Source organism: Homo sapiens, chromosome 4 (assembly GCF_000001405.40).
Source record: "Homo sapiens chromosome 4, GRCh38.p14 Primary Assembly".
NCBI lineage: Eukaryota > Metazoa > Chordata > Mammalia > Primates > Hominidae > Homo > Homo sapiens.
This window is the reverse complement of record NC_000004.12, coordinates 118,292,042-118,309,337: the sequence shown is the minus strand read 5'-3', so window position 1 is coordinate 118,309,337 and position 17,296 is coordinate 118,292,042. Positions and strand designations below refer to the sequence as shown.

General features: G+C 34.3%; 1 protein-coding gene across 4 annotated transcripts in view; it reads left to right on the top strand.

The window, feature by feature from the left end:
- Positions 1–17,296, top strand: part of PRSS12 (serine protease 12) — a 72,966-nt gene that overhangs the window by 43,666 nt on the left and 12,004 nt on the right. For 2 of the 4 annotated variants that reach the window (NM_001440549.1, NM_003619.4), the window contains exons 8-11: positions 761–902; positions 10,400–10,605; positions 13,482–13,560; positions 14,277–14,399. In NM_001440549.1, the coding sequence (NP_001427478.1) occupies positions 761–902; positions 10,400–10,605; positions 13,482–13,560; positions 14,277–14,399 (550 nt within the window). Of the gene's footprint in view, positions 1–760; positions 903–3,334; positions 3,394–5,458; positions 8,973–10,399; positions 10,606–13,481; positions 13,561–14,276; positions 14,400–17,296 lie in introns of those variants that run through there. The other 2 variants (NM_001440551.1, NM_001440550.1) reach the window with 2 other exon arrangements.

Sequence of the window (17,296 nt, the reverse complement as noted above, 5' to 3'; positions counted from 1 at the left end):
CAATTCAACCCATGCAAGTCACAGTGAGGAGTTTCGATTCAAAATCATAATTATTGGTGTGGTGATATGTGACACTTTACAAATCCCTTCATTTGTATTAACTTAGATAAATCTTAATTTGCTAGAGTTCAGTTTCTCAACTTTTAACTCAGTAATTTTTGTGACTTAATTCTTTCCCTTAAAATCAATAGAAAGCCTTAGATGGTAACTGTCCCTATTTACTGCTTTTTTTTTTCTTTTTCTTTTCTTTTTTTTGCCTCCTCCAGCATTAGACTTGAATCAAGTTACCCAACTATGAATGCCAAGATTGTGTCTATTTATATCGTTCTAAAAATCTTGTCTTTGGTGTATAAACTTCTAGCTCTCTGTTCATGGATAAATGAACAGACATGAAGCAGAAACAACCTCAAGTTAATGTTCTTTTACTATTTAGAAGTAAGGTGTAATAAAATAATTCACAGTTTTATAATGCTGTTCATTCATTCAACAAACAGCAATTGCATATCCTCTGTATGCCAGGCACTGTTCCACAGTCTGGGGATACAAGGTTGAGCAAGGTGAGCACTTTGAATTCAAGGCTGCAAGAGACATACAAAAGTGGATAAAATTTTTATTGATATATCTCCTCTCTCTCAAAAAAGTATTTCCCATCTGATTTTATAGCTGATTAAAAAGAACAATTGTGTTTTGTAGAGTCGCTCATGCTTTAGAATCAGTTTGCATGTTTGGGCTGTTCTAATACTTTTGAATCATGACTTAGGTTTTCCTGTCAGACTGATGGATGGAGAAAATAAGAAAGAAGGACGAGTGGAGGTTTTTATCAATGGCCAGTGGGGAACAATCTGTGATGATGGATGGACTGATAAGGATGCAGCTGTGATCTGTCGTCAGCTTGGCTACAAGTAAGGAAAACCTAATTATTTGGGATGGTTACTGATGAGCATATCTGAATTTTTAAATGCTTAATCTAATGAGTTACTTTTTACTTAAAATGAGCTTCTGTCATTCATTTGAAAATACTGGCAGCATATTGATTTGATCCAGAATTATAAAGAAGTAATAAGTAGAGCCTATTCACATTTTTCTACTCACAGAAAATATTATGTCACACAAGAAATGTAGCTTTTTATCTAATAACAAAATAGTCTAATAACTCTGACTAGTCATAATACAGCTTGTATCAGCTTCTGTCAGTTAACCTTTTCTCTGTGATTGATGTTTCAACACTGTAGCCTTTTAAGGGACTCTAGAGTTATTGAAATTACTGTTGGTTCTCATTTTTCTTGATAGTTATAAAGTCACTGTGGACACTGAATTAGCAAATGCTGAGCCATTGCTCCTAGAGCTGAGGTCACTGCTCTCCCTTCTTGTTTCAGCTTTCATACTTGTTAACAGTTGTCCTCTTTTACAGTCTGTGTGGTGCCAATTTTTTTTTTTTTGCATTTCTGTGCTTGCTTTGCTGATGACTTCACTGTTTAAAATGGCCCCCATTTATAGTACCGAAGTGCTGTGTAGTGTTCCTAAGTGCAGAAAGGTTGTGGTGTGACTTAGAGAGAAAATGCATGCATTAGATAAGCTTCCCTCAGGCGTGAGTTACAATAAGAACATGGCACTAAATAGAATGTGAAAAGGACACTTGTTTACAGTGTGAGAGGAGCAAAAAAGAAGGCAGATCATCTCCTGTTGGTTAGACCTCAGCTGGGTAATTTAAAATTTTACTGGCTCTGCATATGTCATGAATGACTGTGAAAGCACCCTAAGTAATGATTTTGAAGTAACAAAAATATGGAAAATGTTACAATTCAGAGGGTTATAAATTTAAGATAATATGTATATAAATTGCCTAGCTCAGAGTAGATTACTAATAGTAATTTGGATTTAAAAATATATCCTTAATTATATATCTGTGTTCATTTTAAATATTGAACACTTCATATGGTTATTTTCTATAAAGAATACATGTTTATTTTAAAAAGCATTTCTGTTTTAATAAAAGTTCACATGTTGGGGGTAAACTTCAAAATCAAAGTTGTTTCTGGTTACTCGATACTACTTCAATTTATGGCTCAGTTTTGGACCCAGTTGCAATTCCAGTTGTCCTACAGCCAATTAATCCTTCATTTGTGATATAAATTTTCAATTTTCAAAATATGGGGCAGTAAAGTAGGGAGAGTCTACATTAGATGTGAAAGTGAATTTGGTCAGTGGTTAATTTTAAACTTCTTTTGCTCACTGTGTTTCTATCACTCCTTTTTCCATTTGAAAAAAAAATTATTCTTGTTCTTGCATTACATTCCCAGTACATTTCCTCACCCAAAATCAGCCATTAAAAGATATTGCTCTTTGAGACTGGTTTCTTGGCCATATTTTAATTTTATTGTCTTGGTGGAAGTGATCCAGGAAACCTAGTATTACCTTTGGAAATACAAAGGGGAAGATTGGCACCAAAGTTGACCTTCAAATTGTGTGTCTCAGCTAAGTTTAAGGAGAGAAAAATTTTCTAGGCATATTCATCAAGCATCATCAACACACATGTAGTCGTGTGTTATTACTTGGATTTCTTTCTAAATTGTTCATTACTTTTTATTTATCATCATTGATATAGTTTGGATATTTGTCCCCACCCAAATCTCATGTTGAGATGTAATCCATAATATTGGAGGTGGGATCTGGTAGGAGGTGTTTGGATCATGGGGGCAGATCCCTCATGAATGGCTTAGGCCATCCCTTGCTGATAAATGAGCTCATGCCCTGAGTTCACATGAGATCTGGTTGTTTAAAAGTGTGTGGCACCCTCCCACCCCGCTTTCTGCTGCTACTGTTGCTGTGTGACTTGCCTGTTCCCCCTTCACCTTCTGCCATGATTGAAAACTCCCTGGGCATCAGCAGAAGCCAAGCAGATGCCAGCCCCATGCTTCCTGTAAAGCCTGTAGAACTATGAGCCAATTAAACCTCTTTTCTTTATCAATTACCTAGTCACAGGTATTTCTTTATGGCAATGGAAGAATGGCCTAACACAATCATTTAGTCCATTTAACATTTAACTCAAAAGTGAATTTAGCCTCATGTTAGAATGGCTATGGTCAAAACAACAAAGGATAACAAGTGTTGGTGAGGATGTGGAGAAACTGAAACCCTTATGCACACTGTTGGTGGGAATGTAGAATGGTACAGCCACTGTGGAAAGTAATATGGAAACAGTATGGAAAACAGTTCCTCAAAAAGTTAAAAGTAGAACTACCATATGATCTAGATATCCCATTTCTGGGTATATGGCCAAAATAATTGAAATTAGGATGTCAAAGAAATATCTGCACTCCCATGTTCATTGCAGCATTATTTGCAATAGCCAAGATGTGGAAACAGCCTAAATGAATGGATGAAGAAAATGTGGTATGTATGTGTATATATATATACAGTTACTGAAAGACAAATACTACATGATTCCACTTATATGAGATATCGAAAATAGTCAAACTTATGGAAGCAGAAATAGAATGGTGGTTATCAGGGGTTGGGAGGAGAAGAAAATGGGAAATTATTTTTCAATGGGTATAAAGTTCCTGTCATGCAAGATGAATAAGTTCTAGAGATCTACCGTACAATACAGTACCTATAGTTAACAATATGGTACTATATACTTCAAAATATGTTGAGGGTATAGATCTTATTTGTGTTCTTACCAAAGCCAAATGAAAACAGAAACAGAACATAACAAAACAAACAAACAAACCTCAGAAAAGAACACAAGGAAATTTTTGGAGGTGATGGATATATTTAGCACCTTGGTTGTGGTAATGGTATCACAGATACATGCATATGTCCAAACTGAAGAAGATTTTTTATATTGATTATACCTAATTAAAGCTAAAAAAGAAGTGATTTTAGATGAGAAACACACTCTAGATTAAGTGAACAAAGTTTGTTGCAGCTTTCAATATTTCTGTAATACTTATCAATCAAGAAAAGCATCAAAAGACTTTATAATTGCATTTTAAATAGTCTTACAAGTAATTCAGTAATTTAATGTTACTATAACAAATTGGATAACATAATCTGCAATTTGCCATCAAATAGTATTTAAATGAGAATTGTTTAGCTATTTGATTAAATATACTTGAATATTTTTATAATTTCCCACTGAAGGGAAATTGGATTTCATATAAGAACATATATGTATATTTTCAGTATATATATATATGTGTGTGTGTGTGTGTATATATATATATATATATAAATTATAAACAGGTATGTGACTAGTGCCGAGGATCTTTTTTTCATCATGTCTATTTTGAATCACAAAAAATCTTTAATAAAGGACTTATTTGTAGAAATCAATCCAGGAAACTTTGAAGCTGTTATAAGATTTGAGCCTCATAAATAGGAATTTCAGAGATCTGTCCTCCAGCCAGTTCTATGATGCATGAGGATTAGTCCTTGGAAATACTGAGAATCAAAATGGTATTAGAAAGCCTTTTCATAATGGGAAAGACAGAAATGAGATAATAAAAAAGGAAATGTGAATGGTAACTAATACAGATATGCTTAAAGTGAACAGAAAGTAAAAGGCATTATTTATTGATGCATTACATAATGTCTGACAAAGTCTAGCATATGAGCATATTGTTCGTAGATTGTTGATAGAGAATGTGTTGAGATCAGTTAAATTCATTGAGATAGACTAAGTAGTCATGACGGAAATTCCATTATATTTACACTTTATGTGGATCCAGTAGCATATGTTCCAATATAGCATTGTTTTTGAACATGTTTGTTAGCGTATTAATCCTTAAAAAAATTTTAAAAATTGTATATTCTCACTGCTTTAATAGAGATCTAAAATTAAGTGTATCTGATATCTATTTTACATTTAAATAGCTGCAAAGGACTTAATTTCTGGTATATTTGTATGACATTTGAATATAAAACAGTTATACCACTCTTAATTATATCCAGTGAAATATAAATATAGTAATTTGATTCAGCTATCCATTTTAAAAAATACATGAACAAAAAATACTTCTTTGACCAGAAATTTTACAGTTTTTTTTTCTCCTTGAAGTTGTATTTTAAATTTTCTTCCCCCACGGAATCTCAATGTTATTATGCCTTAAAAATATGTGTGTATATGTATATATACACACACATATATGCACACATACACACATACATATACACATGTATGCATATATACAGATACACACACACACGTACATGGAGAGAGAGAAATTATGCTAACAAGTTTCAGGTGTCTCTGGAATTTATAATTTCTAGTATACAACTGATAATAAACAGCAAAATATTTAATAAAATTATTAAATAATTATTAAACATAGAAAATAAAAGTTTACCAAAGCTCTCATTTCTTAATTAGACCAATGGGTTGGGTTTGTGTTGCTTGGATTAAGGAAGCTTCATTGCTATCATATATTTTGAATTTTTCTTTTGTCCCCTTTAGAGGCTTTCAAACTTTGGAGGAATGCACTGCGGTAGGATTTGGAGTGAGTGCAAGATATGCTTTTTGTGAAGTGAGAGAAGAGAAATTTTGAAAGAGAAGTTTGATCTTGATAGCAGCAAGATTATTTTTAAGAAATAATATATGTGAAATTTGAGGATATAAAAATTGATTCACTTACAGCCTGTGTATCCCTTGGAAAGTTATTATCTACCAGGAGCACTTGACATCCAGTTTAAAGACTAATTATCAGAAAGTGTTGTGTCATTGAAATTTTCAGCTATGAATTACTAGATTCAGTAAACCAGTGAGAAGCCTTTCCCTTTTTTCTATGGATGGCAGAGTCCTTAATTGTTTAAAGAAAGAGTAGTCAAAAGAAAATGTATTAGATTTCACTATATCAATGAGAATTTAATCATGTGCTGTTATTTGTTAAAATGTTCTCTAATTTCTACTTATTGATATATCTAAAATGGTGCTTTTTTTTAGTTTGTGCAAGTTGATCAGTTGCTAAGAAATGATCCTTTTGGTTTCTTTAAGTGAGTTAAATTTTACTTTCTGTATGTCTACTTCTACCTGCCATCTACTTTTATGTTATTTATCATGCTTTATTTTCTGTTTTTTGTGTAATCATCTGTTTTTTGATTTTCATGATTAATTCAATTTTCAATTTTCATCTTTTCTCAGTGGTCTAGAAATTCAACATTCTTATTGTTTTTCTGGAAGTTCTCTTTAAATTTTTAGCAAACATACTGAAACATACTTTCTTAATAATTTCAAAAATTATTATCTGTAACTTCCCCTTCCTGAAAAAGATAAAGACATTTAACATATTGTTGTTTACTTTCTACCTCCACCCATTCTCACCTCTGAAACTTCTGGGAATCATCTGGAATTTTTGTTTCCAAATTCTATTAATTTTTTATTGTCTTCAAATTATGCCGATTTGAATTTCAAATTTCTTTACATTATACCTATACATTATCAGCAATTATTTTTATTTTTAAAGAAGGTTAATAAACAACAATCTCAACAATCTTATGCAATTTTGCCTAAGAAAAAGGAGAGACAATACAAGTAAACATAGAGAACAGAAAAGAAATTTAAGCACAGATATATAGAAGGTTAAACAAAAACTCTAGTAGATTAACAATACAGCTGGGCACGGTGGCTCACGCCTGTAATCCCAGCACTTTGGGAGGCCGCGGCGGGCAGATCTCTCGAGGCCAGGAGTTCAAGACCAGCCTGGCCAACATGGTGAAACCCCATCTCTACTAAAAATACAAAAATTAGCCAGCTGTGGTGGCTTATGCCTCTAATCCCAGCCGCTCGGGAGGCTGAGGCAGGAGAATCGCTTGAACCAAGAAGGGAGAGGTTGCGGTAAGCTGAGATTGTGCCATTGCACTCCAGCCTGGGCGACTTTTCACCAGTCCTTAAGAAACAGTTTCTGAATTACATGAATTGTTGCAGAGCAAAGAAACTTATGGAAATCTTTCCATTTATTTTATGAAGCTAATTTAATGTGATTTCAAGACTAGGTAAGTAAACACACAAAAAAGAAAACTATACCTCAATCTAATGAATCTACATACAAAGTTATTTTGCTAACAAAATATTAGCAAATTTAATTCTACAATGTATTAAAAGAGCAATATACCACCAGTAAGTGGAGTCTGTTGTAGGAATGTAAGAGTGATTCAAACTGAGACATTCAATTAATGTAATTCAGTGTGTCACCCATAAATATACAATAATTTTAATAAATGATTAAACAAATATCTTAATAATGTTGAAAAGTTATATGATAAAATCAACATTCCTTCTTAGGAAGCTGAGAACAAAATTAAACTGCTTTAATTTTATATCACAAATAAGCATCAAATAGGAACAAAAGAGTGCCTGCCATTACTGCAATGATAGCATTGTCTGGAGGTTGCACTAAAGCCTTAAGAATTGAGGTATCAGTATTGAAAAGGAAGGGTCAGAATATTTATATGAATAATATGATTGTTCACCTAGAAAACCCAAGAGAATCAACTGGAAAGAGACTAGAACTAGTGTTTATTAATGTAACAAGATAAAACATAAATACTTAAAAGGCAATCGTCTGCCTGTGGGATAAGTAGAAAATAAAAAGAAAAACAGATCTGTAGAAGTTACAAAAACTAACAACAAAACAAAAACTAGGAATACACTTTGTAAGAATTGAGACCTATGTGAAAAACCTAAGTCTTTACTAAAGCTAGAAGACCTTATCAATGAAGAGATGTACCGCAATCCTGAATGTGAAGACAAAATAGAAATAAATTTATACATTAAATACTATGCTAGTAAAAATCTTTCATTTTTCTTGGTGTGCATATGGGGTGGGGAGGGGGATTTGACTTCCAAATTCATCTGAAATCCAGTCCATGTGGTACTGGCACAGGAATAGTCAAAGAGGTCAGTGACACTGCAGCAGTGGCTTTCAACCTTGGTTTTAGATTGAAATCATTTTGGAACTTGAAAAAACACTACCCATTCTACTTTAATTCATGTGAGATGAGGTTCAGGTTGTGCTATACTTTAAGTGTTTTCAAAGGCAATTCTGATGGGTAGCCAAGGTTGTGAATTACTGAACTATAAAGACCAAGAAATGGCTTGTGCACATATAGCATGATAAATAAGAAAGACTTTCAAATCAGCAGGTTATTGGGACAACTACTTTAAGGACAAAAATAAAGCTAGATTTCTTACTAACACTAATAGTAAGACAGAAATAAATTTCAGACAGACAAGAACCGTGATATACAATAAATACATAAAATTTAAAAAATGCAATAAATAATATAATTAATTAATTGATTAAAAAATAGAAAAAAGTAGAATAAAACTTCTAGGAAGAAATCTAAGCTGCCCACAAAGATTTATGTATAAGGATATATATATAATTGTAAGAAGTCTAATAATTTTAAAACACATGCGCAACAATGAAGAAATAACTTAGTTTTCTTTGCCAAAGTTTGATGGAGAACTATCCGCAGAAGAATCACCTACAGTTTTGTTAAAAACAGATTACTTATTTTTTAAATGATTTCTTTGTCTATTGTATGCCATTATTCTCTACTAGAAAGTATATTCACCAACAAATATATTTCTAGAAATATCAACTTTTAAATTTATCTTTCCACTTTCCTTGGAGTAGTTTTTAGGAAAGCTACATTCTTAATTTTTAAGTTTATCAATTTTAAAATTTATAGTTTATACCCTCTATGTCCACTTTATTAAGTTTTTCCCTAACTTGAGATTTCAAGGATAGTTTTCCAATAATTCATCTGGAAAGCTTTTGCTTCTGATAACTATTTCATTAATTTGCTTGAAAGCTTTTGCCTTTGATAACTATTTCATTAATTTATCAGAAATTGAGTTCTAAATATGGCGTTAGTTTGAAATATTTATTTCATTTAAATATTTTTGTATTTGCATACTTTAAAATGTGTTATTAAACAAAAAATTAATAAACTAAAAGTAAATCTGCCATTTAGTCATGATTCCTATTTTTCTCTGTCTCCGTTAAAAATTGTACTTTTAGGCCAGGTGTGGTAACTCACTCCTGTAATCCTAGCACTTTGAGAGGCTAAGGTGGGTGGATCGCTTGAGGTCAGGAGTTGGAGATTAGCCTAGGCAACATGGTGAAACCCCGTTTCTACTACAAATACAAACAAATTAGCCAGGCATGGTGGCATGCGCCTGTAGTCCCAGCTACTTGGGGGGATGAGGTGAGAGGGTCTCCCGAGCCCAAGAGTTCAAGGCTGCAGTGAGCCGAGATCACGCCATGGCACTCCAGCCTGGGTGACAAAGTGAGACTGTGTCTTAAAAAAAAAAAGTAAATAAATATAAAAAATTGTACTTCTTTTTTTTTTGAGATGGAGTCTCGCCTTGTCACCCAGGCTGGAGCGCAACGGCGTGATCTCAGCTCACTGCAATCTCTGCCTCCTGGGTTCAAGCCATTCTCCTGCCTCAGCCTCCAGAGTAGCTGGGACTACATGCCCAGCTAATTTATTTTATTTTATTTTATTTTATTTTATTTTATTTATTTTATTTTATTTATTTTATTTTATTTTATTTTATTTTATTTAATTTTATTTATTTTATTTATTTTATTTTATTTTATTTTATTTTATTTTATTTATTTTATTTATTTTATTTATTTTATTATTTTTGAGACAGAGTTTTGCTCTTGTTGCCCAAGCTGGAGTGCAATGGCACGATCTCGGCTCACTGCAGCTTCCGCCTCTTCGGTTCAAGTGATTCTCCTGCCTCAGCCTCCCAAGTAGCTGGGATTACAAGCACGTGCCACCATGCCCAGCTAAATTTTTGTATTTTTAGTAGAAACGGTTTCACCATGTTAGCTAGGCTGGTCTTGAACTCCTGACCTCAGGTGATCCGCCCGCCTTGGCCTCCCAAAGTGTTGGGATTCTAGGCATGAGCCAACGTGCCCGGCCTAAAAAAATTGTACATTTTTCTTCTAAAGGAGGCAAAAAAATTAGTTCTTACCTCTGTAGGTTATTATTTAATCTCATTGTTTTCTTTGCAATATTATACCAATATTAAGAGAGTATTGTACTCTTTAAGAGGGTAAAAAATTTAGAGGTGATTTTTTCCTGCTTAAACGAGAGTTAAAGACTATCATGATTTTTTGATGTGCCATTAAATGTAAGTTTCTTAGAAAAAGCTAAATTAGAGGCAAGTGATGTAATAAAGTAGCTGTGGAGTATGGGAAAGTATAGTTAATACCTTTTTTATTTAATTTTTTTTGACAGTCATGAAACAAATGGTTTTTAGCACATGCAGATGCTAATTTTAATATGTAAAAATTAAGGAATAAAATTGAATACATGTTGTGATTTATTCAGATATATGACTGACTGATTCTTCACATGATTAAGAATGTTCTGTCTTCAGGGGTCCTGCCAGAGCAAGAACCATGGCTTACTTTGGAGAAGGAAAAGGACCCATCCATGTGGATAATGTGAAGTGCACAGGAAATGAGAGGTCCTTGGCTGACTGTATCAAGCAAGATATTGGAAGACACAACTGCCGCCACAGTGAAGATGCAGGAGTTATTTGTGATTATTTTGGCAAGAAGGCCTCAGGTAACAGTAATAAAGGTAAGTCACCTTCTGGAGCCCTAAACAAGTCAAGGAATACTAATTCCCATTCCATTACTATAAGCAGTACTTTGATAACAGAAATCTAGTACAACAAGAACGTATACAGATCCATGTCTTGTGCTATTACTTAGATCCGGTAGTTCTTGGCAAACTTGCCTAGGTGGGGCTGACAGGCAGAACAAGGTTCAGGGGTAGGAATGAATTTACGGGGCCTTGTAATCTCTGGGATCATCCTCTTTTCACTTTCTTAGCCATTTCTCTGTTTCCTTTTTTAGATGTAATAAAGCTCTCATGCTTGTTGCTATCTTTGAAGATTCAGAATTGATAATGACTTCATAAAAAGGAAAGAAATGAAAATATAGAAATGAATTAAAGGCATTTCTAAAGTCTTACTAATATTTTAAACAAGGATATTTAAAAATGAATTTCAAAAAGAAAATGATGTTTTGTAGATTTTATTCTCTGAAATTTAAAAATTTAAGGAAAATGATAAGTAATCCTTTCGTATGATACAGTAATGTTTCATACTTTAAATGAATAGAGTTCTTGAAAGCTCTGCATACATTTAATTTTTTTTTTTTTTTTTTTTGTTGAGACGGAGTCTTGCTCTGTCACCCAGGCTAGAGTGCAGTGGCACGATCTTGACTCACTGCAACCTCCACCTCCTGGGTTCAAGTGATTCTCCTGCCTCAGCCTCCCGAGTAGCTGGGATTACAGGCGCCTGCCACCACGCCCAGCTAATTTTTGTATTTTTAGTAGAGACGGGGGTTTCACGTGTTGTCTAGGCTGGTCTAGAACTCCTGACCTCAGATGATCCGCCCACCTCAACCTCCTGAAGTGCTGGGACTACAGGCGTGAGCCACCACACCTGGCCTATTTAATTTTTATGAAACATTCTTTAAATGACTGAGAGAATGAGCTATTTTGGAGAAATTTGTGGTACATTTTATGAAAAGAACAGTTGCCTCTTTATCTGGATTGAAAGTTTATAGTTCTGATACACTGGATTTTGTTAAAATCAGGTGCACCTGTATTTTGAGGATTCTCTTTTTCTAACACCTTTTAATAACTGCCAAAGACAATGCAATAAGTGAATTGGATGTCGTTAATATGATTCTTTGCTGTCTGAGGGGCTTCTGATTGTGAAAAGAACACTTACAATCCTTTTCACTTTATTTTCTATTCATATATATTAAATATATATACATATTTTTATATATGAATGTGTGTATAGATATATGTATATATGTGAATGATTTGGCCAGCTCTTTCCCCTGAATACTGATTATAACTTAATTTACTGAATTCCCTTTAATAATTTAAATTACCATTACAAATGGGATATAACTGATTCTTTGAATTATGTGAAATTCCGTAAGCAGTTGAAAAACATAAAAAACATTATTTATATGTTTGTTTTTAATGCCTTCCTAGAATTATAGCAATATTCTTTTTGATATCTTTCCATGGTTATGGCAATGCTACCATACTTCAAGTAAAAAGATTTCATCTTAGCCCAGCTAGATTACAGAATCTGGCATATTAACCAGTTGATTTTATGTTGATACTCAGGACCTGGTGACATCTATAAGGTGATTCAAACTGAAGCCATTGGTTATTGGTCATCTGATGGGTTTCTTTTATAAATGAACTTCATTTTTCTTTTAAAAAATTTTAAATAATAGTGTATGACTTTAAATAGAGTTTACTTTCTTGCAGGCTGGTTCTTTGCCCCAGAATGATGTAAACTTAAAATTTTGCTTGTTTTAAACATTACATCATTCCTTTTCTTGGCATCATATACATTGACCCAACTTGGAGCATTATTGGAAACTTATGTTTTTTCTAATATCTTACAATTTGCAGTGTCATCTAGAGGACTCATATTGTAAGAAATGAAGGTTAAAGTTTGAAAGCATACCTCTGAGATCATTTTGCAAATTAATCATCTTGGTACACATTGTTGAACGTCTTTCTCCACCAAGAAATAACTATTGCTGATTCCCTGTTGGGCTCCCTTCTACCTGGTTATTATGGGAGACCATTAGTGTTGATTAGGTCTTCCTGTACTTGGCACAGTTCCCACCCTCCTCCTCTTAGATAGAAAAACAGTACATATCTATACTTTATACACATATATTTAACCAAAGAAACAAAGTACCTCTATATAAATTCTCCTGTTTTCTCAAATATTTTAAAAATTAGTCATACCTGTTGCATTTGCCTTTCTTTCATATACCACCTTTTTATATATTTTTAATTTAATTCTTCTTTTTTGTATGTTCTTGACAGAAGTCTGTTACCTTGGGAGGTTTGCCTGTATACCCTTAACCATAGTTTACCACTTCAATTGGCTTAGCAAACCCTTTCCGTATGTTGACATGCTAAGTAAATGTAAATTCAGATCAGAATTCTAGCCTGGGAATGTGCTTTGCTCTTCTGAGTTACATTTTTTTATGTGACTTAGAACAGTCTTGCATGTGGAAAGTAAGTAATTTAGGCCATTACTGCCTTTGCAGTTCTCTTATTTTGTTTAATGTTCCATACATTTTGTTCCATACATTACACCAAATAGCAGCAGCAGGAGATATAGGTACCTACCAGGATAAAGTACTGGACAGAGTCAAACCAGTCAGCAGCCCATGAACCCCTCAGAGGTGAAGAATGGGAAACCTCATAATGTTTCTTGTCTACTTGCAAATTATTGTCATTTAGTCAAATGAGAAAACTATTTTTGTTACAAGAAAAATTTTAATTTGCAGAGAAAAGGGATTTTGACATAGAGGAGGAAGCATCAGTGGAGTATGTCACTTATCGTCTTACCCCTCTGTCAGCAATGTGATAGTTTAATTAATGACCTATTTCTGCTTCAGAGTCCCTCTCATCTGTTTGTGGCTTGAGATTACTGCACCGTCGGCAGAAGCGGATCATTGGTGGGAAAAATTCTTTAAGGTAAATGTTCCTCCAAAAGAGATTTTTTATATTACAGAATTATTTATATACATAGAGTGTTACAAACTGGGGATGTTCTGTTATATAAGGGACTTGTACTCATTTTATTTTCTAAACTAAATTCAGATTTCACTGATAATTTCACTGTCCTTTGACCTATGTTTACTTGGTATACACCATGTTCTTATACCAGCCTGATTTAAGAGATTAGATGTGTTGCTGAAAAGTTATATGGCAGAAACAAAATAATTTAACAGGAGACCTGGAAGTGTGTGTAACTACAAAGATTCATCTAATTTAGAATGTATTTGTTTCAGACTTGACTCAGTTTAATCTAAGTTTTTTGTTTGTAGAATTTACTCATGGAAAACTTTATTAAATACTTCTTCAGACTGCATAGGCGAGGTAGAGTGAGGAGAGAAATTACACTTTAAATCATGAAATATAAAGAAGACAACTTGTTTCTAAGAGTGTCAGATAGGTGGGATCTATACAAATGCCTATAAGCAAATCTTTAGAGTTGCTGATGCTGGGCCTGCTCAGAGTTGTGGGGTCTCCTTCTCAAAGTAGGAAGGGATGTATCCTGGAGTCCCTTTTGCTTTCCTTTTCCCCCACCTGCAAGGCATTAAAGTTATTAAAGCCATTGCTTTAACCAGTGCTTTCCTTTGCTTTTTTGCCTTTTACTGACGTTGATGTGTAGCTCATTTTCTTCTTAGGGGTGGTTGGCCTTGGCAGGTTTCCCTCCGGCTGAAGTCATCCCATGGAGATGGCAGGCTCCTCTGCGGGGCTACGCTCCTGAGTAGCTGCTGGGTCCTCACAGCAGCACACTGTTTCAAGAGGTATGTGTCCACCTTCCCAAACAACCTAGTGTAGCTTCTATTCATCAGTTCTTCCAATCCCCTCATGCTCTACAGCACTCAAGGTGTCAGAGCCAGGCTATGAGCTTTCGCTGCTTGTGCCAGCAGCCCTGTGGAATGAGGGAGTGACAAAAGGAGCAAAGAGAGCCCTTAGAAGGCCACTTGCTACCCTGGTGTTAAAACAAACTCTGGATTTAGGGAGAATAGAAGAACAGGGGTTTTTGGAGAGGAGGCAGCAATGTCAGTGCTCCCCCCAAGAACGTATCTGAGGCTGAAATTATATCTTTGTGGAGGTAGAATAGACCTCGGATTATTTAGTTATAATGATAAGGACTAGGGAATGCAGTTGTAGTGTTTTTGATTCTTTGAGTCTTGGTGTCTTGTACCTTTGAGAAAGGTTGCATATGTTTCATTCTTGGTTTCCTATAGTTTAGTCCTGATTATTTCTTCTTGTCCCAAACATTTTATCAGTCCTTTCTGAAGTCTTCCCAGTTCAGAGGAGAGGTCATGCAGAGTCACCAGAGTCACGGAGCTCATGGTGGCAGATCCTGCAGTAGAACTGGCTCTACTTTCTCTTGTTTAGTGCTTTTTTGTGGGCCTTGGTTAATGGCCCTTTCCTCAGCATTAATTTTGGTATTTAAATATGTATACCAATGCTTGTCAAAATATTGATAATTATTAAAGCAATGTGTTGAGTACAGAGTTTCATTGTACTATTTTAATTTTGTGTTTTGAACATTGTCACAATGAAGTTTTAAAAAAATGTGTACCACATTGTTGAAACATTTTTGCAAGCAGAAATTTTTCTGTTTTTTCTTATGTGATATCATACGGTACATACCTTTGCCTCATTATGTACTTACGATCCATCCATGCAGATTTGTTCATTCACTTTAACTGCTCCATGAATTTTAACTGCTATTGAAAGACTGAACCAGTTTATTTATTCGCCTGTTGCTGCATAGTTAGCTGCTTTCCATTCTTTCATTGATAGAAAACAATGTTGCAATAAACAACCAGGTACAAGTCTCACTGGGTGTGTGCACATGGGGACATTTTTCTGGGTCCTGGAATATGGATTCCCTTCAATTTTTCAAGCCTTGCCAATTTATCCTTTGAAGAAATTGTATCAGTTTATAACCCAGCAATGTGTAAGTTCCTGTTTCCTCACCACTCCACCTAAACTTGATACTATCAAAATTTTAAATTTTTTGCCAATCACAAAGTTTTGGGGTTTCTTTTTAATTGTATTTCCCTGACCAATGTCTTCCTCTTTCATGAATTCTTTGTTCATATACTTTGCCTGTTTTTGTATTGGGCTATTTGTCTATTTGTAATTGATTTTTTAAATTTTTGGATATGTTCTGTGTGCTAAGTCTTTGTTGTTAGGTGTTACAAGTACTTTTTCCTAGTCTGGACCTTGTCCTTTTACTTGTTTATGGCCTTTTTCTTACAAAACTGTCTTCATATATTTAAAAGTGTCATCATTTTCTTAAAAGTTTTACAAAAGCTTTGTATTTCTTATTTAAAAAATCTTTGCCCCATTTGGTGAAGATATTCTCTTATTTGTTTTCCTAAAAATTACCTTTATAGTTTTGCTTTTAATATTTAGAAGTTTAATTTTTCCAGTTTATTTTTGTTTATAGTATATGGTATGAAGAAAGGACCTAATCTTATACTTTTCTTTATGGATAGTTTTCGCAGCATTTTTTTATTAAATATTCTAGTCTTTACCCACTGATTATGCTGTCATATGCCAAATTCTCATATATCCTTGTTCCTAGGATCTCTGTTTTCTTCCATTTTTGTACTTCAGTAAATATTTGTGCAGTCATCTTCCACATTCAAGGTGCTGCAGATAATATGTATTTTATTTATTTATTTATTATTATTATTATTATTTTTTGAGATGGAGTCTCACTTTGTTGCCCTAGCTGGAGTGTAGTGGCACGATCTTGGCTTACTGCAGCCTCTGCCCTGCCAGGTTTAAGGATTCTCCCGCGTCAGCCTCTTGAGTAGCTGGGATTACAGGTGTGCGTCACCATGCCTGGCTAATTTTTGTATTTTTAATAGAGACGGGGTTTTACCATGTTGGCCAGGCTGGTCTTGTACTCCTGACCTCAAGTGATCTGCCCGCCTTGCTTCCCAGCCTGATCAAACCTGTATTTTACATAACAGTGGCTATTTGGGGATATAATTGAGCTTCAGAGTCCACCTGTTTACTAGTGGGTTTAACACATTCCTGTGTTACCTGAGTGGCATGAACAATAAAGATCATATTAATTCATTCACTTAACAAATAATTATTGAGCCCTTAATGTTCTCAGGCACCTGCTATGTACTAGAGATATAGTGGAGAACAAGTCAGATAGAATCCTTGCTGTTACAGAGTTTACTATGTAGTTATAGGAGCTGAGAGGAAGGAGATGTTGACTTTGCTGATATGACCAGAAAAAGTTTAGGGCACCATTTTTAAAGTGAGATATTTTTACCAAAATGTTAGATTCATTTAGCTTGTTAATAGTCCAGGTTCCTGAGCCCCTGCTCTAAATCTGCTGAATCTTTGGAGATGAGACCCAGGAGTTGCTTAGGTTAAGACCCACTTGCTTAGAGGAGACGTAGTTGAAGAATGATGATGGGGAAGAATAAGTGGAATTGACAGATGCTTATCTTTGTCGTGTTCAACATATTAATTGCTAAACTGATAAAGGACACTGATGGTAAATTGATTATATTTTTGGGTGCCAGAAGAAGGGGAGGGACAAGTAATATGTTGGAAGGTAGGATCATGATGGCAAAATATCTTTTTTTTTCATATATGGGAAGACCAATTTTTAAAAATTTCTTCTAAAAAAAAAACTAGGATACATGTGCAGAAC